This window comes from Homo sapiens, chromosome 19, assembly GCF_000001405.40.
Source record: "Homo sapiens chromosome 19, GRCh38.p14 Primary Assembly".
Lineage (NCBI taxonomy): Eukaryota > Metazoa > Chordata > Mammalia > Primates > Hominidae > Homo > Homo sapiens.
In genome coordinates, this window is record NC_000019.10 from 57,847,598 (window position 1) to 57,869,355 (window position 21,758).

Genomic DNA, 21,758 nt, shown 5'->3' on the forward strand with positions numbered 1-21,758 from the left:
CTGGGAACTCCCCACTCTTTTTCTAGAAAATTCATGAATAACCCACCTCTTATTTAGCACATAATTAAGGAGTAGCTATAAATATAGCTAGCCAACAATCCACGGGTGCTACTTTGCCTGTGGAGTAGCCCTGCTCTGTCTGTGGAGCAGCCATTTTCCTGTTCTCTTGCTCTCATAAACTTGCTTTGCCTTCACTTTACACTCTTGGCTTGCTCTTGAATTATTTCCTTTATGAAGCCAGGAACCCTCCTGGATTGAGCCCCAATTTTGGGATTTGCTAGCATCACTAGAGCAATTTTCTGTGGGAACCAGTGGCCAACTGCCAGCTTCACTACCTGCTTCAGGGTGTACCAACATCCGTCTATTTCCCTGTCATTAGATCTTTATTATTATTTTATTTTTTTGAGACGGAGTCTAGCTCTGTCGCCAGGCTGGAGTGCAGTCATGCGATCTCAGCTCATTGCAACCTCTGCCTCCAGAGTTCAGGCGATTCTCCTGCCTCAGCCTCCCGAGTAGCTGGGACTACAGGTGTCTGCCACCATGCCCAGCAATTTTTTTAACATGGGTTTTGCTGTGTTAGCCAGGATGGTCTTGATCTCCTGACTTCATGATCTGTCCACCTCGGCCTCCCAAAGTGCTGGGATTACAGGCGTGAGCAACCGTGCCCGGCTAATTTTTTTATTTTTATTAGAGATGGGGTTTCACCATATTGGTCAGGCTGGTCTCGAACTCCTGACCTCATGATCCACCTGACTCAGCCTCCCAAAGTGTTGGGATTATAGGCATGAGCCACTGCACCCAGCAATTTATTTATTTTTTATTTTTTATTTTTTTTGAGACAGAGTCTCACTCCTGTTGCCCAGGCTGGAGTGCAATGGCATGATCTCGACTCATCGCAACCTCCACCTCCAGGGTTCAAGTAATTCTCCTACCTCAGCCTCCCGAGTAGCTGGAATTGGAGGCATGCAGCACCATGCCTGGAAAATTTTGTACTTTCAGTAGAGACACGGTTTCTCCATGTTGGCCAGGCTGGTCTCGAACTCCCGACCTCAGGTGATCCACCTGCCTTGGCCTCCCAAAGTGCTGGGATTACAGGTGTGAGCCACCATGTCTGGCCTTTATTTTTATTTTTTGTGGGTATATAGTAGTGTATATATTTGTAGATTACATTAGATATTTTGATGTAGCCATGCCATATGTGATAATCACATAGGGTAAATGGGGTCTCAGTCACCTCAACATTTATCCTCTGTATTATAAACAGTCCAGTTATACTCTTTTAGTTATTTTTAAATATATAATTAAATTATTTTGACTATAGCCACCCTGTTATGGTAGCAAATATTAGGTCTTATTCATTTTTGCTCACTGTTTTTTGTACCCATCCTGTCATCATGTCTTATGGAGAATTTTCTTTTGTTCCCAACAAAACAATGAAACTCGCAAAACTGACTGTAATGATTCAGTCTACGTGAATTTAAAGAGCAATCAATACTTAATGTTCTCAGCTCTGAGTGCACACATTGTAAGTCTGAATGATGCCAATGATATGGCCACTTAGATAAGTAAAGTTTGGGAGCATCTCAAATAGTATTTTTATTCTCTGGGTGCAGGATGAGCTTCCTAGAGTCTGATGTGATACCTATTTGATGCTTTTACAAAGAATCAATAATCTTCCTCCTTTGAGGTGTGAGCAGGGCTTTCCAGCAGCCCTCAGAATGTAACATGGTCTGCATTCGGTTTGCTCTTGGAGGATACCACCATTGTTGGCTGAGAGCTCTGGGAAGTACTTTACCCAGAAGGCGCTAGTTGCAAGGCCCAGGATGAGGGATTTCTGGGCATGCTTGTCAGGCCAGGGAGTACTGGGTTGGGACTGAGAAGGCACAAGAGGAGTAGTCATCTCTGCTCCCAAGTGGCAGGTCTGAGGCTCATAGGCACTGGCTGGGGTGATGCCTGCTCCACCCACAGTTGATGGCAGCAGCCACACTGAGGGACCTAGCTCAGGTAAATGCTGTGTATTACAGGCTTCACCCCAGCTAGAGTAATACAGGTAGAGGAACCAATAGGTACAAAGGCTTGGAGGTGCATCTGAGCCATGAACATTTCAGAACCTGGTAACCATGTTGTGTCATGGAAAGTGGGGAACTACATTACCCAGAAAGCTCTGCTTTAAACGACAGCCGGTCAGAGCCAGTGAGCACTCGGAAAGAAGGCATTTCCACGTGTGCACGTAACGTAAGGCCGAGACTTCCGGGGTCTCTAGTAGCGGCTGTGTATCGGCGATGCGGGTGTTTCCCCAGTTTGTGGCCCCTGAGTGCTGGGTGGGACCGCGGTGACTGAACCTAGAAGGTGGAGAGGAATCGTCCTCGGTGCCCAGAGGCGGCTCTGCAGCCCCGTGACGGCGACCACTGCTCCCGGGCCGTGCTTCCCCAAGTAGTCCGATGGCAGCGGCTGTGCCGAGGCGCCCAACTCAGGTAATTGTGGTGCCTTCTGTGCCCTCAGGTCACCCCATCGTCACCCAGGTCCTAAACCAGCGAGGGAGCGGCTCCTGCTCGTGGGTCTGTAGCCGGTACCCGGCGTAGGAACACTGAGGCGCTCACAGGAGGCCTCTCCTTGTAACCGTCCAGTGGGTTCACGTTGCCAGCTGCCTAGACAGAGCCGATTTATGAAGACTGGGGAATTGCGATGGAGAAATAGTAATTCACGCAGAGCCGTCCTGCTGTTCGGGAGACAGGAGTTTTATTATTCAAATCAGTCTCCCTGAGCATTCTGGGATCAGAGTTTTCAAAATTTGGCGGGTAGGGGCTTGGGAAGTGGGGAGTGCTGATCAGTCTGGTTGGAGATGGATTCATAGGGGGTTAAAGTGAGTTTTTCATGCTGTTTTCTGTTCTGGGTGGGATGGCAGAACTGATTGACCCAGATTACCGGTCTGTGTGTTGTCCGCTGATCCATCCAGTGCAGGATCTGCAAAATGCCCCAAGCACTGATCTTAGATATTGGGGAAACCAGCCCCACACCACCCAGCAGATACCCCGAGTCCTGCGGAGACAAAGGAGTTAGAAAGAGACAGAATACGCATTTAAAAGGCGGGTCCAGGTGGCCAGAGCATTGGAGGCTTCCTGGCGGCCCAGAGCTCTTGGGCTCCACCCAGTTTATTGGTTTACAAGCTCTTTGTTCTTATGGCTGATTGGAGGGGGAGGAAGCGATCAGGAAAAGGATTAATCAGTAAAGGAGAACTCGTGAGTCATTCCATAAGATGTAAAGCACTGGCCGTTTCTGTGAATTTCCTTGAACAAAGGCGTGTGTCTAAACTACTTAAGATCTTTAACTTAACTGAAACGGGTGGCTGCGGGTTTCAGGAGGAGCCAAGATGTTTGATTATGCTCCACTGCTTCAAGGGAGTGTGATCTCCCTGAGCAACCCATGGAATGCTGCTGAAGAGTTATGCTCTCGGGGCATAAAGACATGAAGGCAATAAGGAGACTTTTCTCCTCAGAGGCCGCCCATGGCTTCCCATGGGTGTCTCACACAGGGGAGACCAACTCAACTAGCACCCCAGAAACTCACATTAGGTTTTACAATAGTAAGGTTATCTTCAGGAGCAACTTGGGGAGGTTCAGACTCTTGGAGCCAGAAGCTGCATGACCCCTAAACCGTAATTTCTATTCTTGTAGCTAATTTGTTAGTCCTGCAAAGACAGGCTGGTCCCCAGGCAAGAAAGGGGTCTTTTCAGGAAAGGGCTATTATCAATTTTGTTTCAGAGTGAAACCATGAACTGAATTCTTTTCCAAAGTTAATTCAGCCTATGCCCAGGAATGAAAAAAGACGGCTGAAAGGTTGGAAGCAAGATGGAGTCGGTTAGGTCTGATTTCTTTCACTGTCATAATTTCGTCAGTTATAATTTTGCAAAGTCGGTTTCACCTGTTTCTGACACCAGTGGGATGCAGTGGGGAGAGTGACAGGCACAGGTAGGGGTGCAGGCAATGGCCTGCAGATGGACAGAGCTGGAAGGATGGAACCTGGGGTTCACAGGCATCTGTCAGGAACAACGTGTGAGATGGAGCTCTTCCTGGTAGAGCAAGCAGGCCAGGGGCTGTGCATTCATCATGAGGATTCTAGAAGCCATGGAGAGTTTTGAAGAAAGGAGGGACATGATCCAAATCCAGGCTTTTAAGAAGTTTCCCAAAGGCCAATCAAAGGAAGAACATCATAGAGAGAGAGGATGAGGACTTTGGGGCCTTGGGAGGTTGAATCCGTTTTGTAGATCACATAGATGGTAGAGATGACATTTTGCACTGAGAAAAGCAGGTCAGACAACCAGCCTTAGGGTTACCTGGTTCCAGGGACAAGAAAGGGTTCAGGGAGTCCTGAGCTTATCAAATCCTGTGACATGTTTGTAATGTCTGCCTTTCCCCTCAGGCACTCCTGGCTGCAGAAGCACTTAGGGAACCCACACAGGGAAGTGGAGGGTGTTCCATTCCCTCATTGGTCCTGACGCCATCTACAGGTTCTCTAGCTTGTGGTGTCCTGGGACTCTTAAGTGCCATTTTTTTCAGTCCTTTGATCCGAGGACCCTGGAGAATCTCTGAAGCCAGGATACCAAGTCCATGACAGGTTATATGGAGGTATTCCCATTTCTGTCAACCAATGTAAACACCCTTGTAAGATTAACCCAGGATTTGCTACCAGGTTGTGAAATGCTTAGAGATAAAACGGATCAAAGTCAGGAGGTGATATTACCACAGTTCTACCTGGCTACAGGCTTCATCTGGCTGGACCTTGTTGCATAGACTGTGGGTTGAGGGAAGAGGAAGAAAGGTCAGAGATAAGGCTCCTGCCATAATCCAGGTGAGGGTTAATGGATCAGATAAGTGGTAAATCACATGGGTCTGGATTCAGGATTCACTTTTTGTAAAGAGACAGCTAGGTTTTCTTTTTTTTTTCTTAACGTGGAATTTCAGTCTTGTTGCCCAGGCTGGAGTGCAATGGCGCAATCTTGGGCTCACTGGAGCCTCTGCCTCCCAGGTTCAAGCAATTCTCCTGCCTCAGCATTCAAGGTAGCTGGCATTACAGGCACCCACCATCATGCCCAGCTAATTTTTGTATTTTTAGTAGAGACGAGGTTTTACCATGTTGGCCAGGCTGGTCTCGAACTCCTGACCTCAAGTGATCGTCACATCTCGGCCTCCCAAAGTGCTGGGATTATAGGCATGGACCAATGCGCCCAGCCGAGACAGCTAGGCTTTTTTTTTTTTTTTTTTTTTTTTTTTTTTGAGACGGAGTTTCACTCTCTTGTCCAGCCTGGAGTCTAGTGGCACAATCTCAGCCCACTGCAACCTTCACCTCCTGGGCTCAAGTGATTCTCCTGCCTCAGCCTCCTGAGTAGCTGGGATTACAGGCATGTACCACCACACTCGGCTAATTTTTCTATTTTTAGTAAAGTCGGGGTTTCACCATGTTGGCCAGGCTAGTCTCAAACTCCTGACCTCAGGAGATTCGCTGGCCTCTGCCTCCCCAAGTGCTGGGATTATAGGCACGAGCCACCATGCCTTGCAGACAGCTAGATTTTCTAATGTGGATGATAGGAGCATGAAAGAGGAATCGGGCATGAGCCCAAGGTTTTTGATCTTAGCAGCTGTAACCATGCACACTGCTTCAGCTGAGATGACGTTGGTATTGACATAATATTCACTGTGGATATCCAGAGGGTTGTTTTGGCCATATGAAGAATCAGAGACCAATAAGTGGTGGCATCAAATCGATAACTAGACATACTGGATGGGGTATCTGGGAGGGTGTTGATACTGGAGACATCCAATATATGAAAGCTAATGAGTGAACTATGATTAGTTATGGGTCCATTTAGGAGGACATGCTTCAGATTATGGTGGTAAATCTTTTCAGGGGGCAGAAAGGTGTGATTACAGGCTGAGGACTGGATCTCTTACTTACGTCCTCAATTGATGTTATTGGGCTTCCTAAACACCTGAGAGGGTGTGAGTGACCATCATAACAGGACATTTAATACAGTAGAGTTTGGAAGGGGACATAGACATCCAAAGAGATAATAGAGAAGAGATAGATGCATGCAGAAGCACAGGAGTAATTCAGGGAAGATGACACTTAGGCCTGAGTTGGTGCCAAAGTTGTAACTTTTTTGTTTTTTTTTTTTTTTCAGATGGAGTTTCGCTCTTGTTGCCCAAGCTGGAGTGCAATGGTGCCATCTCGGCTCACTGCAACCTCCACCTCCTGGGTTCAAGCAATTCTCCTGCCTCAGCCTCCCAAGTAGCTAGTATTACAGGCACCTGCCACCACAGCAGGCTAATTTTTGTATTTTCGGTAGAGACAGGGTTTCACCATGCTGACCAGGCTAGTCTTGAACTCCTGACCGGGTGATCTGCCTGCCTCGGCCTCAAAGTGCTGGAATTGCAGGCGTGAGCCACTGTGCCTGGCCAGTTGTAACTATTTATCACTGTCTGGACTCATAAACATTTTGAGATGACTTTGGGAGTGCCTGGGGAGTTTCATTCAGCCTGGTGCATATGGGCAGTGAAAAATATGCTCATCTGTGATAGTAGATGTGGTTTGGTTCACAAATCCAGGGGCTGGGCTTTAAACGGCATTAGGTGGACAGAGGAGGGTTGCTACAGCTGAGGTCTCAGCTGGTGCAGCACAAAAGTGAAATAGGGCCATGGCTATCTGAAGCCATATGTGGTTCTGTGTGGCTATGGAGTCATTCCAGGAGACGTTCACAGGATGATTTGGGATTACCACTGCTATTGTAAACCATGGAAATTCTGTGTTAATATTGGATGCTATTTGTATTTGTCAAGCATAGTCTGGATGCTTATCCACATTTTGGTATAAGGCCAGAATTGAAGGCCCAATATGATGTGTCACTTTGACATCTTGTGAAAGTGGGACAACCTTAAAAGGTGTGAGTACAAATCTCATTCCCACTCTGCTCTCTTGAATAATGTATCCTAGCCTAACAGCCCGTTTTATCAAGGTGATAAGGCAGGGTTCCAGGTTGTTATATTTTGTGGTGGGTTTCAATTCCATCCCTACCAGCAGAGTTATGGAAACAAACCATTGCATATTCCCAAGGGAATCATGGGCCGTTATACCCTCTTCATCTTGTGAAATAATTTTATTTGTAGGCGCTGGGTGTGGTGGCTCACCCCTATAATCTCCTCACTTTCAGAGGCCAAGGCTGGTGGATCACTTGAGACCAGAAATTCAAGACCAGCCTGGCCAACATGGTGAAACCCCGTCTCTACTAAAAAAAAAAAATACAGGCCAGGCATGGTGGCTCAAGCCTGGAATCCCAGCACTTTGGGATGCTGAGGTGGGTGGATCAGGAAGTATGGAGATCGAGACCATCCTGGCTAACACAGTGAAACCCCGTCTCTACTAAAAAAAAAAAAATACAAAAAATTAGCCAGCTGTGGTGGTGGGCACCTGTAGTCCCAGCTACTCGGGAGGCTGAGGCAGGAGAATGGCCTGAACCTGGGAGGCAGAGCTTGCACTGAGCTGAGATCATGCTACTGCCCTCCAGCCTGGGGGACACAGCAAGACTCCGTCTCAAAAAAAAAAAATTAGCCGAGTGTAGTGGTACATGGCTGTAATCCCAGCTACTTGGGAGGCTGAGGCACAAGAATCACTTGAACCTGGGAGGCGGAGGCTGCAGTGAGCCATGATTGTGTTCCTGCACTCCAGCCTGGGTGGCAGAGCTAGACTATGTCTCAAAAAAATCCCCCAAAAATAAACTTTTACTTCTGGGGATGCCAGAGAGGGGCTGAAGGTTGGGGAAACTCTGGTGGGGGTGGCCATGGGCATGTGTCTGTACAGTATAAAGAATGATATATATTTAATGAGAGCGAGGTTGTCTGATGGACTCAGGCAGCTGCCTTGGGCTTTACGTGACCTTGGATATCGCTGTTCAGAAGGGGGTGTGGGCTTTTTTTGTTTTTTTTTTTTTTGAGATGGTGTCTCGCTCTGTTGGCCAGGGTGGAGTGCAGTGGTGTGATCTCGGCTCACTACAAACCCCGCCTCCTGGGTTCACGCCATTCTCCGGCCTCAGCCTCCCGAGTAGCTGGGACTACAGGTGCCCACCACCATGCCCGGCTAATTTTTTGTATTTTTAGTAGAGACAGGGTTTCACCATGTTAACCAGCATAGTCTCTATCCCCTGACTGCAAGATCTGCCCGAATCAGTGTCCCAAAGTGCTGGGATTACAGGCGTGAGCCACCGCACCCAGCCCAGAAGGGAGTGGACCTTTTTATGTCAGGACCTCAGCATGGATACCTATTTGTCCACCTACTTCTTGTTGCTGATGGCATTTGACCAGCAGGCCCATGAAGAGACAAAGGCACCAGTGGATGTGGTTTCAACTCCGTGTTGGGGACCTTGGGAGGAGGATGGGCAAGGGTGGGTGTGTGGGAGAGGTGGGTTGTGGTACCTCAGCAGAGGGGCTGCTTGTGGTTTCATCTGTCACTATCATAGCAGGGCACTGTGACCTTTGAAGATGTGGCTGTGAACTTTTCCCAGGAGGAGTGGTGTCTTCTTAGTGAGGCTCAGAGGTGCTTGTACCGTGATGTGATGCTAGAGAACCTGGCTCTCATATCCTCGCTGGGTAAGTTGCTCACGCTCACCTTTGTGACCTGAGCTAGTGTTACTGTTCCCCTGTTTTTCATTGACAGGACTGTCTTTCTCACCTAAGGAGCCTGGACACAGGTTCCTTCTGCACTTCTCTGTGTAAGTTGTGTGGTTCGTAGGAGTAAGGTGTGTGTATTGCCTTTTCCTCTCCTGTTTTTTTTTTTTTTCTGAGACAGTGTCTCGCTCTGTCACCCAGGCTGGAGTACAGCGGCGCCATCTCGGCTCACTGCAAGCTCCACCTCCCGGGTTCATGCCGTTCTCCTGCCTCAGCCTCTCAAGTAGCTGGGACTACAGGCGACTACCACCACGCCTGGCTAATTTTTTTTGTTTTTTAGTAGAGACGAGGTTTCACCGTGTTAGCCAGGATGGTCTTGATCTCCTGACCTCGTGATCCACCTGCCTTGGCCTCCCAAAGTGCTGGGATTATAGGCGTGAGCCACCACGCCCAGCCACCTTTTCCTCTCCTTAAGCAGCTCCAACACCTGCTTTGCTCCAGGCTCCCAGGGAAGGAGTCAGAGTCAGGAGTCTTATAGGCACCTTAATGTATCCACTTTGCCTGCCTCTGGCTGTCAGGTGACTGTCCAAATCGGTAGCTCTTGTGTGCCCAGGTTCTATTAACACTTCCTTCCTCTATCTGACAATGCTTTGTGCCTCCCTGTGCCAAGAATTGCCTTCATTGACATTGTCACTACCTACATAGACCATAGACCATAGACTCTTCTTGCAAGACCCTGCTTAGGAATTCTTTTGTAATACTTACCTTACTCTCCTGTGGGCTGTCAGGTGCTTAGTTGTCCTGAGCTAGTGTTGGCTGTTCATCTCTGCTATCTCTCCTTTCATAGTTACATCGTCGGGTCCTATGTACTGGGTGTGAGATGGAGAGTCCTCCATGTTTGACAAGATGTGGTTCAATTCAGGCTCATCACGATAGGCTCAAAGGGAGCCTGTCCCTCAGGAGTGCCATGCTGGGGGAGGGCATGACTTCAGGGGTTTATCCAAATCATACCAGAAACCATTTACATTTGCCAAGTATTTTTGGGGCAATATGAGTAGGCACACACTATTTGTCTTTTTCTCCCCATTGTTGAGAGTTTCACATGTGTTAGTTCTGTACCTTTTCATTTCTGCAGTGATATCCACCCCAGCACTAATACTCACATTTCTGGACTCCACATCTCACCCATTTTTCTTTTGCTTTCATCTGCAGTTGTCTCTGATATTGGTGTATTGATTACGTATTAGGAAGTGTATGCCCATGGTTAAACCATCTATGACCACCCCTGCTGTGTTGTACTCATGTTTTCTTGGTCTTCACATGTTTCTATATATATATAGATGTATATATATGTGTGTATGTGTATATATATATATGTGTGTGTGTATATGTATATTTTTGAGAGAGAGTTTTGCTCTTGTTGCCCAAGCTGGAGTGCAATGGTATGATCTCGGCTCAGTGTAACCTCTGCCTCCTGGGTTCAAGCGATTCTCCTGCCTCAGCCTCCCAAGTAGCTGGGATTACAGGCACATGCCACCATGCCTGACTGACTTTTTGTATTTTTAGTAGATACAGGGTTTCACTATATTAGCCAGGCTGGTCTCGAACTCCTGACGTCAGGTGATCTGCCCGCCTCGGCCTTGCAAAGTGCTGGGATTACAGGAGTGAGCCACCGTGCCCGGCCCATATTCTTCTATATAGCACTCACATGTCATCAGGAGATAAGGTCCTGTACACAACTTGTTTGTAGAGGAAGGAGCTGTAGACCCTGCCTCTACTCCCTGTGTTGCATATATGCTTGTGCTCTTTACATCATGAAGCCTCCTGGATTCTGTGACCTTTATAGCCCAGGAATTCTAAGAAGCCCCATCTTTTTTTTTTTTTTTTTTTTTGTGATTGAGTCTCACTCTGTTGTCCAGGCTGGGGTGCAGTGGCGTAATCACTGCTCACTACAAACCTCTGCCTTCTGGGTTCAAATGATTCTCCTGCTTTAGCCTCCCGAGTAGCTGGGATTACAGGTGTCCACAACCACATCCAGCTAATTTTTGTATTTTTAGTAGAGATGGGGTTTCACCATGTTGTTCATGCTGGTCTTGAACTTCTGACCTCAGGTGATCCACCCGCCTCAGCCTCCCAAAGTGCTGGGATTACAGGTGTGAGCCACCATGCCCAGCCAGCAGCCCCATCTTCAACTTGAAGCCAACATTGTGTTCCTGCAAATATTTCTATAGATTAATTCCTCAATTTGTGAGACGTACTTGTGGGTGGGCTGTGCCTTCCCGCCGGAGGTACTTTGCACTTGACCAGCATTTTCTTGCTTTCAGGTTGTTGGTGTGGATCAAAAGATGAGGAGGCACCTTGTAAGCAGAGAATTTCTGTACAAAGAGAGTCTCAGAGCAGGACTCCTAGGGCAGGTGTTTCTCCTAAGAAGGCTCACCCCTGTGAAATGTGTGGCCTCATCTTGGAGGATGTTTTTCACTTTGCTGACCACCAGGAAACTCATCACAAGCAGAAGCTGAACAGGAGTGGAGCATGTGGAAAAAACTTGGATGACACTGCATACCTTCATCAGCACCAGAAGCAGCATATTGGAGAGAAATTCTACAGAAAGAGTGTCAGAGAAGCATCGTTTGTAAAGAAACGTAAGCTCAGGGTGTCACAGGAGCCATTTGTCTTCCGCGAGTTTGGGAAGGACGTTCTGCCCAGTTCAGGATTGTGCCAAGAAGAAGCTGCTGTAGAGAAGACAGACAGTGAAACTATGCATGGCCCACCCTTTCAGGAGGGAAAAACTAATTACAGTTGTGGAAAACGCACAAAAGCCTTCAGCACCAAACACTCAGTTATTCCACACCAGAAACTTTTCACTAGAGATGGATGTTATGTGTGCAGTGATTGTGGAAAATCCTTTAGCAGATATGTCAGCTTCAGTAATCATCAGCGAGATCACACTGCAAAAGGACCTTATGATTGTGGAGAGTGTGGGAAATCTTATAGTCGAAAGAGCAGCCTTATTCAACATCAGCGAGTCCACACTGGACAGACAGCTTATCCCTGTGAGGAGTGCGGGAAATCTTTTAGTCAGAAGGGCAGCCTTATTAGCCATCAGCTTGTTCACACTGGAGAAGGGCCTTATGAGTGTAGAGAATGTGGGAAATCTTTTGGTCAAAAGGGTAACCTCATTCAACATCAGCAAGGTCACACTGGAGAGAGAGCTTATCACTGTGGGGAATGTGGGAAATCTTTTCGTCAGAAGTTCTGCTTTATTAACCATCAGCGTGTTCACACTGGAGAAAGGCCTTACAAGTGTGGAGAATGTGGGAAATCTTTTGGTCAAAAGGGCAACCTCGTTCACCATCAGCGAGGTCATACTGGAGAAAGGCCCTATGAGTGCAAGGAATGTGGGAAATCATTTAGGTACAGATCCCACCTCACTGAACACCAGAGACTTCACACTGGGGAAAGACCTTACAATTGTAGGGAATGTGGGAAATTATTTAACAGGAAGTATCATCTTCTGGTTCATGAGAGAGTTCACACTGGAGAAAGGCCATATGCGTGTGAGGTATGTGGGAAATTATTTGGCAATAAGCACAGCGTGACTATACATCAGAGGATTCACACTGGAGAAAGGCCGTATGAATGCAGTGAATGTGGGAAATCATTTCTTTCCAGCTCTGCGCTTCATGTTCATAAAAGAGTTCATTCTGGACAAAAGCCTTATAAGTGCAGTGAATGTGGAAAATCCTTTTCTGAATGTTCCAGTCTCATTAAACACAGGAGAATTCACACTGGAGAAAGGCCTTATGAATGCACCAAATGTGGAAAAACATTTCAGCGAAGCTCTACCCTCCTTCATCATCAGAGTTCACACAGGAGAAAGGCCTTATGAGTGCAGTGAATATGGGAAATCGTTTGCTGAAGCATCCCGTCTCGTTAAACACAGGAGAGTTCATACTGGAGAAAGGCCTTATGAGTGCTGTCAATGTGGAAAACATCAGAATGTCTGCTGTCCTCGGTCTTAAGCGACTTCGTGTTGAGATGGAGTCTTGTTCTGTCACCCAGGCTGGAGTGCAGTGGTGCAGTCTTGGCTCGCTGCAACTTGGGCCTCCTGGGTTCATGCAATCCTCCTACCTCAGCCTCCTGAGTAGCTGGGATTATGAGTACACACCACCACGCCCAGCTAATTTTTGTGTTTTTAGTGGAGATGGGGTTTTACCATGTTGGCCAGGCTGGTCTCAAACTCCTGACCTCAAGTGATCCACCCACCTTGACTCCCAAAGTGCTGAAATTACAGGCATGAGCCTCTGCACCTGGCCTTCATTCTTTTCGTATTGCTTAGAATATGACATGCTGAACCAGGCATGGTGGCTCATGCTTGTAAACCTGATGCTTTGGGAGGACAAGGTGGTTCATTGGAGGCCAGGAGTTAGAGATCAGCCTGGGCAACATAGCCAGACCTCCTCTCTACAAAAAGAAAAAAGAATGACATGCTTCTTGTTTTTGTCTGTTATAAATGAAACTGCTATATTTGAATGCAGTTGTTCATGTAGGTATGTTTCACTATGGTAATATGGTGGTGTGCAGTGCCTGAGTCACGTGATAGATTAAAGTACAACTCTTTTTTGAGACAGAGTCTCACTCTGTCACCCAGGCGGGAGTTAGGTGGCATGATTTCGGCTCACTGCAACCTCTGCCTCCCAAGTTCAACTGATTCTTCTGCCTCAGCCTCCCGAGTAGCAGGGATTACCGGTGTGCACCACCATGCCTGGATAACTTTTTTTTTTATTTCTATTAGCAATGGGGTTTCACCATGCTGGCCAGGCTTGTTATGAACTGACCTCAAGTGATCTGCCTGCCTCAGCTTCTCAGGTGTGACCTACTGTGCTTGGCCTAATGTACAACTTTTTAAGCAATGCCAAACTATGACTTAAGAATGAAATTATTGCTCATTTGTATATCTATCTACCATCAGTGTCCAAGAATTTCTGTTCTATCTTACCAAGAGGGAGTATGGTTAGTATTTGAAATTGTTTATTATTTTAATAAGTGGTTATAACTTTTGAGTCAGTGGTTTATGTTTTGCATTTTTTTTGTTTTGAGACAAAGTCTCGCTCTGTCTCCCAGGCTAGAGTACCGTGGCACAATCTCAGCTCATTGCAACCTCTGCTTCCTGGGCTCAAGCACTCTGCCCACCTCAGCCTCCAGAGTAGCTGGAAATACAGGTATGCACCACCACAACTGGATAACTTTTGTATTTTCTGTAGAGAGGGTTTTACCTTTTTGCCCAGTCTGATCGCGAACTCCTGGGCTCAGGCGATCCACTTGCCTAGGCTCCAAAAGTGCTTGGTCTACAGGGGTGAGGCACCCTGCCTGGCCTCACCTGTAGGCTTGTTTTTTAAAATGAATTTTATCTATTTCCCATTTCATTAATATATTTAAAAATAATGAAATAACAAAGACGTATGTTGGACTTCATTCATTCTTCAGTGATGTCACTTTGCTGCAAGGAATATTTGGTTTTCTTTTTTTTTTTTTTTTCCAGATGGAGTCTAGCTCTGTCTCCTAAGCTACAGTGAAGTGGCATGATCTCGGCCCACTGCAACCTCCACCTCCTGTGTTCAAGCGATTCTGCCTCAGCCTCCTGAGTAGCTGGGACTACAGGCATGTGCCATTATACCTGGCTAATTTTATTTATTTATTTTAGTAGAGATGGGGTTTCACCATGTTACCCAGGCTGCTCTCTACCTTCTGAGCTCAAGTGATCCACCTGCCTCGGCCTCCCAAAGTGCTGGGATTACAGGTGTCAGCCACTGTACCTGGCTGAATACTTGGTTTTCAGTACCACAAGAACTATGAGCTGGTTATCCACTTCATGTGGAATCATAAGCGTCCCAAAGTGACAATACATATAGATTGCCAGGCAGTGAAACAGTTAAGATGCCACCATAGCTTTCTTTTCAACATCTTTCTAAGATTACCTTACTATTTCTTTTGTTCCAAGTTTGTACTTCCTCACAGTTCTCACATATGGAAAGGATACACACTTTGTAGAAACAAGAACTTTATGTTATCCAAGTTCTAGGATAGCCATGAGCTCCAATTATCTCAGAGCTCTGAGTCCTCTACTCAATACCCATTGAGATTTATGTGTTCTGAGGCTTTTGTCTTCTAGCTACTTACTTCATTCTCCATGGGTAACGTCATTCATCCACATTAACTAATTTCCTCACTCCAAGCTCTTTTCTAGAGATAATCTCCAGTCCCTGTGCAGAAACTGTCATTGCACTTTCTGCTGAAATGGCAGTTTCTTCTCAGCAAGGTGAGATTATGGAATCCAGAATCTTTTTTCAGGGGTCACATGCCCATTTCCCCACTTGCATGAATGTCGACACTGCAGCCACAGTTTTGGCCGTAAATGTGAATTTGGCAAGTAACCACTGTTCCCAGGGAAATGTCCCAATCAGAAGAAGATTATCTGGGACACTGATACTGACAGGGAGATGGGACATTCTGAGGGACCCGGAGGCAGGGTGCCACCTCCTCAACTTCCCTGAGGGCTGCCTAGAATCTGTTTCCTCTCACTCTGAATTATTCTTCCTCTTATGGCTGACCAAAAACATGGAACCTCACAAAGTCCACTGTAACAGCTTTATATTTGTGAAGTGAAGAACATGAAGACAGTTTCAAGCAAAGTTATTGAGTGGACACTTTGTGTTTTTTTTGAGAAGTCTCACTCTTTCACCCAGGCTGGAGTGCAGTGGCACGATCTCGGCTCACTGCAACTCCACCTCCCGGGTTCACGCCATTCTCTTGCCTCAGCCTCCTGAGTAGCTGGGACCACAAGCGCCCACCACGTCAGCTTAATTTTTTTGTTTTGTTTCTTGAGACAGAGTCTTGCTCTCTTGCCCAGGTTGGAGTGCCGTGTCGCAATCTCAGCTCACTGCAACTTCTACCTCCTGGATTCAAGCACTTCTCCTTGCCTCAGCCACCTCTTTAGCTGGGATTACAGGTGCGTGCCACCACACCCAGCTAATTTTTGTATTTTTAGCAGAGACCAGGTTTCACCATGTTGGTCAGGCTGGTCTCAAACTCCTGACCTCGTGATCCACCCACCTCGGCCTCCCAAAGTGCTGGAATTACAGGCGTGAGCCACTGCACCTGGCCTGTATTCTTTTCTTTAGTAGAGACGGGGTTTTACTGTATTTGCCAGGATGGTCTCGATCTCCAGACCTCGTGATCCGCCCGCCTTAGCCTCCCAAAGTGCTGGGATTATAGGCGTGAGCCAACACGCCCTGGCCACTTCTTGTCTTTGCAACATTTTTTAGATATGTATTTGTGTTTTTTGGGGAGCTTAATTTGCTAATGGAATCTCTGTTATTTTCCTAACATGCTTGGTGGATACAAGAGTTAAGACTTCCTGTCCCGTTTAGTGTAACAAAAGAAAGTTAAGAAATGTGGATAAAAGATTGTAAGTTAGAAATGGCAAGATAATCAGCTATATGAAGAATCTTGGCCAGGTGTGGTGGCTGAGGCCTGTAATCCCACCACTTTGGGAGGCTGAGGTGGGCGGATCACAAGGTCAGGAGTTCAAGACCACCCTGGCCAATATTGTGAATTCCTGTCTCTACTAAAAATACAAAAATTAGTCGGGCATGGTGGCGGGTGCCTGTAGTCCCAGCTACTCGGGAGGCTGAGGCCAGAAAATCGGTTGAACCTGGGAGGTGGAAGGTGCACTGAGCCAATATCACACCAGTGCACTCCAACCTGGTGACAGAGAGACACATCATCTCAAAAAAAAAAAAAAAACTCAATCCATAAATGTTATACTTTATAACTTTATAACAGCATGTTATATGGGCTTAGATATTATCCCTAAATTTTTTTTTTTTTTTTTTTTTTTGAGACAGAGTCTCACTCTGTCACCCAGGCTGAAGTGCAATGGCATGGTCTCGGCTCACTGCAACCTCCGCCTCCCAGGTTCAAGTGATTCTCTTGCCTCAGCCTCCCGAGTAGCTGGGCCTATAGGTTCCCTCCACCACGCCCAGCTAATTTTTGTATTTTTAGTAGAGATGGGCTTTCACTACGTTAGCCAGGCTGGTCTCAAACTCCTGACCTCATGATCCACCCCCCTCGGCCTCCTAAAGTGCTGGGATTACAGGCATCTGCCACCGCACTCGGCTTATCCCTAGAAATCCTATGATAGCATGATGTATAGGCACCTAAAGGCATGGCACTTGAGAAATGTGAATAAGATTGTAAGTTACAAATAGCAAGGTACAGTCAGATGTTAACAGTCTCAGCCCCTAAATGTCACCTTGTATTACAGCATGTTATATAAGCACATACAGGCACATACATGAAATAGTGATACTTCATTCTCAGTAATATCTTCATCCTTCTCACTGGAAAGATCTTTGATGATTTTTAATCAACATAGGAGTTTCAATGATATCTAGAAGTTTAAAAGGGCTCGTTCAAACAAATTATGACCACACACACTGAAGAGTATGTTTGTCTCTTGTGGTGTAAATTTTTTTTTATTACACCAAATTATGTTCACACAAAACCTTTGTAATCAGGGGGAATTAAAGAGCCTTCCTGGAAAATGGAGGTTGCAATCAGCCGAGATGGTGCCATCGCACTCTAGCCTGGGGAATAGAGTGAGATCCTGCCTCAAAAAAAACAAAAAAATTCTTTATTTTCTCCATAAACTACAGTTTATATAAGCAAAAGTTTCAGTACTAAGCAATTTTAGTCTCTGCAGTCTCTTGTCTTGAATTAATACAACTTTTGTTAATTCTCTTATGAAGTTAATCTTCCTGCTTGTATGTGAATTAAATATATGTCAAACTTTTTTTGTACAAAAGATTCATACCTCTTTCCTGTTTGAAATTATTTTACTGTGTTTCATCAATCTAATGTTTATTTTTATTACACCAGTAATTTCCTCATTGTGTTGAATCTTACAGTGGCTTATAAATCTACATGTACCTAGAAATGTTTAGCCAGTCCATGTATATTTGATGTGGCACATTTTTTCCTTTGAATCACATACTCTAAGAGAAGTAACTTCCTCTTGCTAACCTCTACTTTCCCTAAGTGTTGAATTAATCCTCTTTAGATGATTATAATTCTCTTTTCAATAGCTAGAAAGAATCTATAAGGAACTTTCCTGGCTGGGTGTGGTGGCTCATGCCTGTAATCCCAGCACTTCAGGAGGCCGAGGTGGGTGGATCACGAGGTCAGGAGTTCCAGACCAGCCTGACCAACATGGTTAAACCATGTCTTTACTAAAAATGCAAAAATTAGCACCTGTAATCCCAGCTACTCAGGAGGCTGAGGCATAGAATTGCTTGAACCTGGCAGGCAGAGGTTGCAGTGAGTTAAGATCGTGGCACTGCACTACAGCATGGGCAACAGAGCAAGACTCTGTCTCAAAAAAAAAAAAAAGAAATCACAGTCCATGTCTGAGGGGTGTACATTGCTTATCAATTTGGAGAGAAAATAATAGATAATGTAATACAATGTTAAAATAGATTAAAAATTGAGATAGAAAAACTGCTCAATTTATGCTTCACATAAAATTGAAAATTAAATCAAGCCTACACATAAAGGCATTTTTTATATATATACATATATGTGTGTGTGTGTGTATATGTACACACATATATACGTATATATGTGTGTACATATACACACACACACACATACTTTTTATGTTATTTTTGGAGAGAATCTTGCTCTGCTGCCCAGGCTGGAATGCAGTAGCATGATCATGGCTCACTGCAGCCTTGACCACCCCCAGGGTTCAAGTGATCGTGCCACCTCAGCCTGCTGGGTAGCTGGGACTACAGACAGGCACCCTGCCTGGCTAATTTTTGCATTTTTTGTGGACACAGGGTTTTGCCATGTTGCCCAGGCTGGTCTCAATCTCCTCGGCTCAAGTCAACAGCCTGCCTCTGCCTCCCAATGTGTTGGGATTACAGGAATAAACTACTATGCCCAACTCAAGATTATTTTTTAAATGGTTTATTTTCTTAGTAAATTGGGGTGCACAAGTCATTAAAAGCAAGGATTAAATTTAAAGGGAAAAATTTGTTTTACTTTTCTACAGAAAATTAAAACCAAAGCACATTAAAAGTGACAACACGGCCGGGCACAGTGACTCACACCTGTAATCCCAGCACTTTGAGAGGATGAGGTGGGCGGATCACAAGGTCAGGAGATCGAGACCATCCTGGCTAACACAGTGAAACCCCATCTCTACTAAAAATACCGAAAGTTAGCCAGGTGTGGTGGCACGCACCTGTTGTCCCAGCTACTCAGGAGGCTGAGGCAGGAGAATGGCATGAACCCAGGAGGCGGAGTTTGCAGTGAGCCAAGATCAGGCCACTGCACTCCAGCCTGGGCGACAGAGCGAGATTCTGTCTCAAAAAACAAAAAAGCAACAACCCAAGATGGAAATGACAAAAGTTACTTAAAATGTGCAACATAAAAGGTAGTCATTTAGGCTGGGTGCAGTGGTTCATGCCTGTAATCCCACTTTGGGAGGCCAAGACAGGTGGGTCACTTGAGGACAGGAGTTCGAGACCAGTCAGGCCAATACCGTGAAACAGTCTCTACTAAAAATCCAAAAATTAGCCGGATGTGGTATCATGCACCTGTAATCCCAGATGTTCGGGAGGCTGAGGCATGAGAATCGCTTGAATGCAGGAGCAGAGGTTGCAGTAAGCTGTGATCATGCCATTGCCCTCCAGCCTAGGCAACAGAGCTAGATCCTTGTCTTAAAAAAAAAAAAAAGGAAAGGAGTCATCTATAATTTTACTACTTATACAGATTACATTGAGATAAATCGCAAAATATTAGGCAAAACTTTAAAACAATTTTTAACTATCCAGTATATCAAAGAGAGATGCCACACATTGTATTTGTTTGCAAGAATGTCATTGTGATTACAAAACTGACCACTAACCATTCAGTTGAAGTTGATTGAGAACTTAAAACTATTTCCGTCTATGGCCATACCACCCTGAACGCGCCTGATCTCGTCTGATCTCGGAAGCTAAGCAGGGTCGGGCCTGGTTACTACTTGGATGGGAGAACTTAAAACTATTTCCTTTTTTTTTTTTTTTTGAGATGGAGCCTCACTTTGTCGCCCAGGCTGGAGTGCAGTGGCGTGATCTCGGCTCACTGCAACCTCCGTCTCCTGGGTTCAAGTGATTCTCTTGCCTCAGCCTCCCAAGTAGCTGGGATTACAGGTGTGTGCCACTAAGCCCAGCTCATTTTTGTATTTTTAGTAGAGACAGGGTTTCACCATGTTGGCCAGAGCCACCGCATTATTTTTCAGCCAGGTGCAGTGGCTCACACCTGTAACCCCGCACTTTGGGAGGCCAAGGTGGGTGGATCACCTGAAGTTGGGAGTTTGAGACCAGCCCGATCAACTTTGAAGAAACCGTCTCTACTAAAAATGCAAAAACCTAGCCGGGCGTGGTGGCACGTGCCTGTAATCCCAGCTACTCGGGAGGCTGAGGCAAGAGGATGGCTTGAACTCAGGAGGCAGAGGTTGTGGTGAGCCGAGATCACAGCACTGCACTCCAGCCTGGGTGACAAGAGCAAGACTCCGTCTCAAAATAAATAAATAAAAATAAAAAATAAACATGATGATCACAGATGCAGTCACATTTTCTGAGTTCTTGTCTCTCTGCCAGTGCCACCCAGATAGCCTCACAAAACTTTGACCCAGCCACTGTTAGTGTCGCCACCGCCCATAAAGGAGCTGAGCCCAGCAGGGGCACTGCCTGGGGCCCTGTAGCCAAAAGGCTACAGCAGGAGCTGATGACCCTCATGATGCCTGGTGACAAAAGAATTTCTGCCTACCCTGAAAGCCTTATCAAATGGACACCATCCATGAAGCAGCTGGCACAGTGTATGAAGATCTGAGGTATAAGCTCTTGCTGGAGTTCCTCAATGACTACCCACCTTTACGATGCACCCACAGTGAAGTTCCTCACACCCTGCTACCACCCTAACGTGGACACCCAGGGTAACATATGCCTGGACATCCTGAAGGAGAAGTGGTCTGCCCCGTATGATATCAGGACCATCCTGCTCTCTATCCAGTGCCTGCTAGGACAACTCAACATTGATAGCCCTTTGAACACACATGCTACCAAGCTCTGGGAAAACCCCATAGCTTTAAGAAGTACCTGCAAGGGTCAGGCGCAGTGGCTCACACCTGTAATCCCAGCACTTTGGGAGGCCGAGGTGGGTGGATGGATCACCTGACGTAGAGAGTCCAAGGCCTGACAAACATGGAGAAATGTCATCCCTATTTAAAAAAATAAAAAAATTAGCCAAGTGTGGTGGCGCATGCCTGTAATCCCAGCTACTCGGGAGGCTGAGGCAGGAGAATCACTTGAACCTGGGAGGTGGAGGTTGCAGTGAGCCGAGATCTCGCTATTGCACTCCAGCCTGGGCAACAAGAGTGAAACTCTGCCTCAAAAAAAAATAAAATAAAATAAAAATAAAAATAAGGAAGTACCTGCAAGAAAGCTACTCAAAGTAGGTCACCAGCCAGGAGCTCTGACCCAGGCTGCCCAGCCTATCCTTGTGTTGTCTTTTTAATTTTCCCTTAGATGGTCTGCCCTTTCCGTGATTTCTGTGTAGAACTCTGTATCTTGAGCTGTGGTACTATTTTTCTTTTGTCTTTTAATTTAAACCTTGGTGGAGCCCTTGTGATGAATATTAAATACATACATTTTGGGCTGGGTGTGGTGCCTCTAGCCTATAATCCCAGCACTTTGGGAGGCCGAGGCAGGCGAATCGTGAGGTCAGGAGATCGAGACCATCCTGCCTAACACGGTGAAACCTCGTCTCTACTAAAAATACAAAAAAATTAGCCGGGCGTGGTGGCGGGTGCCTATAGTCCCAGCTGCTCGGGAGGCTGAGGCAGGAGAATGGCATGAACCCGGGAGGTGGAGCTTGCAGTGAGCTGAGATTGCACCACTGCACTCCAGGCTGGGCACAGAGCAAGACTCCATCTCAAAAAAAAAAAAAAAAAAAAGACAAAAAGAAAACATTTTGGTCATTAAAAAACAAAAAAAA

At 46.1% G+C, this 21,758-nt stretch overlaps 1 protein-coding gene, 1 long non-coding RNA gene and 1 pseudogene across 4 annotated transcripts, besides 5 other annotated features; 2 read left to right on the top strand and 1 right to left on the bottom strand.

Moving 5' to 3' along the window:
* Nucleotides 1,860-1,969: an enhancer, noted in NCBI's record as "active region_15164". NCBI's record gives its function as "activates an Ori minimal core promoter by ATAC-STARR-seq in GM12878 lymphoblastoid cells {active_cell/tissue: GM12878}" and the evidence as "EXISTENCE:reporter gene assay evidence [ECO:0000049][PMID:35858748]".
* Nucleotides 2,040-2,099: an enhancer, noted in NCBI's record as "active region_15165". NCBI's record gives its function as "activates an Ori minimal core promoter by ATAC-STARR-seq in GM12878 lymphoblastoid cells {active_cell/tissue: GM12878}" and the evidence as "EXISTENCE:reporter gene assay evidence [ECO:0000049][PMID:35858748]".
* On the top strand, nucleotides 2,262-17,520 carry ZNF587 (zinc finger protein 587). 2 transcript variants are annotated; one of them, NM_032828.4, is made up of 3 exons: nucleotides 2,262-2,474; nucleotides 8,507-8,636; nucleotides 10,979-17,520. In NM_032828.4, the coding sequence occupies exons 1-3, from the start codon at nucleotides 2,442-2,444 to the stop codon at nucleotides 12,541-12,543; spliced, it is 1,728 nt and encodes a 575-aa protein (NP_116217.1). In that variant the 5' UTR covers nucleotides 2,262-2,441; the 3' UTR covers nucleotides 12,544-17,520. The 2 variants fall into 2 exon arrangements, with proteins under 2 accessions (NP_116217.1, NP_001191746.1); NM_001204817.2 differs by having other exon boundaries at nucleotides 8,510-8,636.
* Nucleotides 2,270-2,509: an enhancer, noted in NCBI's record as "active region_15166". NCBI's record gives its function as "activates an Ori minimal core promoter by ATAC-STARR-seq in GM12878 lymphoblastoid cells {active_cell/tissue: GM12878}" and the evidence as "EXISTENCE:reporter gene assay evidence [ECO:0000049][PMID:35858748]".
* Nucleotides 2,560-2,649: an enhancer, noted in NCBI's record as "active region_15167". NCBI's record gives its function as "activates an Ori minimal core promoter by ATAC-STARR-seq in GM12878 lymphoblastoid cells {active_cell/tissue: GM12878}" and the evidence as "EXISTENCE:reporter gene assay evidence [ECO:0000049][PMID:35858748]".
* Nucleotides 2,704-3,903: an enhancer, noted in NCBI's record as "CDK7 strongly-dependent group 2 enhancer chr19:58361669-58362868 (GRCh37/hg19 assembly coordinates)". NCBI's record gives its function as "activates an origin of replication core promoter dependent on BRD2, BRD4, P300/CBP, MED14 and CDK7 cofactors, with strong dependence on CDK7, by STARR-seq in HCT116 cells {active_cell/tissue: HCT116}" and the evidence as "EXISTENCE:reporter gene assay evidence [ECO:0000049][PMID:35650434]".
* LOC124904782 (uncharacterized) lies at nucleotides 2,718-10,979 on the bottom strand. Its single transcript, XR_007067358.1, has 2 exons — nucleotides 9,420-10,979; nucleotides 2,718-2,964 (listed from the first exon to the last, which is right to left on the bottom strand). It is a non-coding gene; the product is annotated as an uncharacterized LOC124904782 (long non-coding RNA).
* A 2,642-nt stretch (nucleotides 17,521-20,162) lies between the features above and the next one.
* On the top strand, nucleotides 20,163-21,414 carry UBE2CP5 (ubiquitin conjugating enzyme E2 C pseudogene 5; annotated as a pseudogene). Its single transcript, NR_144562.1, has one exon. The product of NR_144562.1 is annotated as a ubiquitin conjugating enzyme E2 C pseudogene 5 (transcript).
* Nucleotides 21,415-21,758: the final 344 nt, after the last annotated feature.

Coding starts and splice junctions, on each gene's coding strand:
- ZNF587 (NM_032828.4), top strand. CDS start 2,442: ATGGCAGCGGCTGTGCCGAGGCGCCCAACTCAG. Junction 2,475..8,506: donor TGCCGAGGCGCCCAACTCAG/GTAATTGTGGTG, acceptor TCACTATCATAG/CAGGGCACTGTGACCTTTGA. Junction 8,637..10,978: donor GGCTCTCATATCCTCGCTGG/GTAAGTTGCTCA, acceptor TCTTGCTTTCAG/GTTGTTGGTGTGGATCAAAA.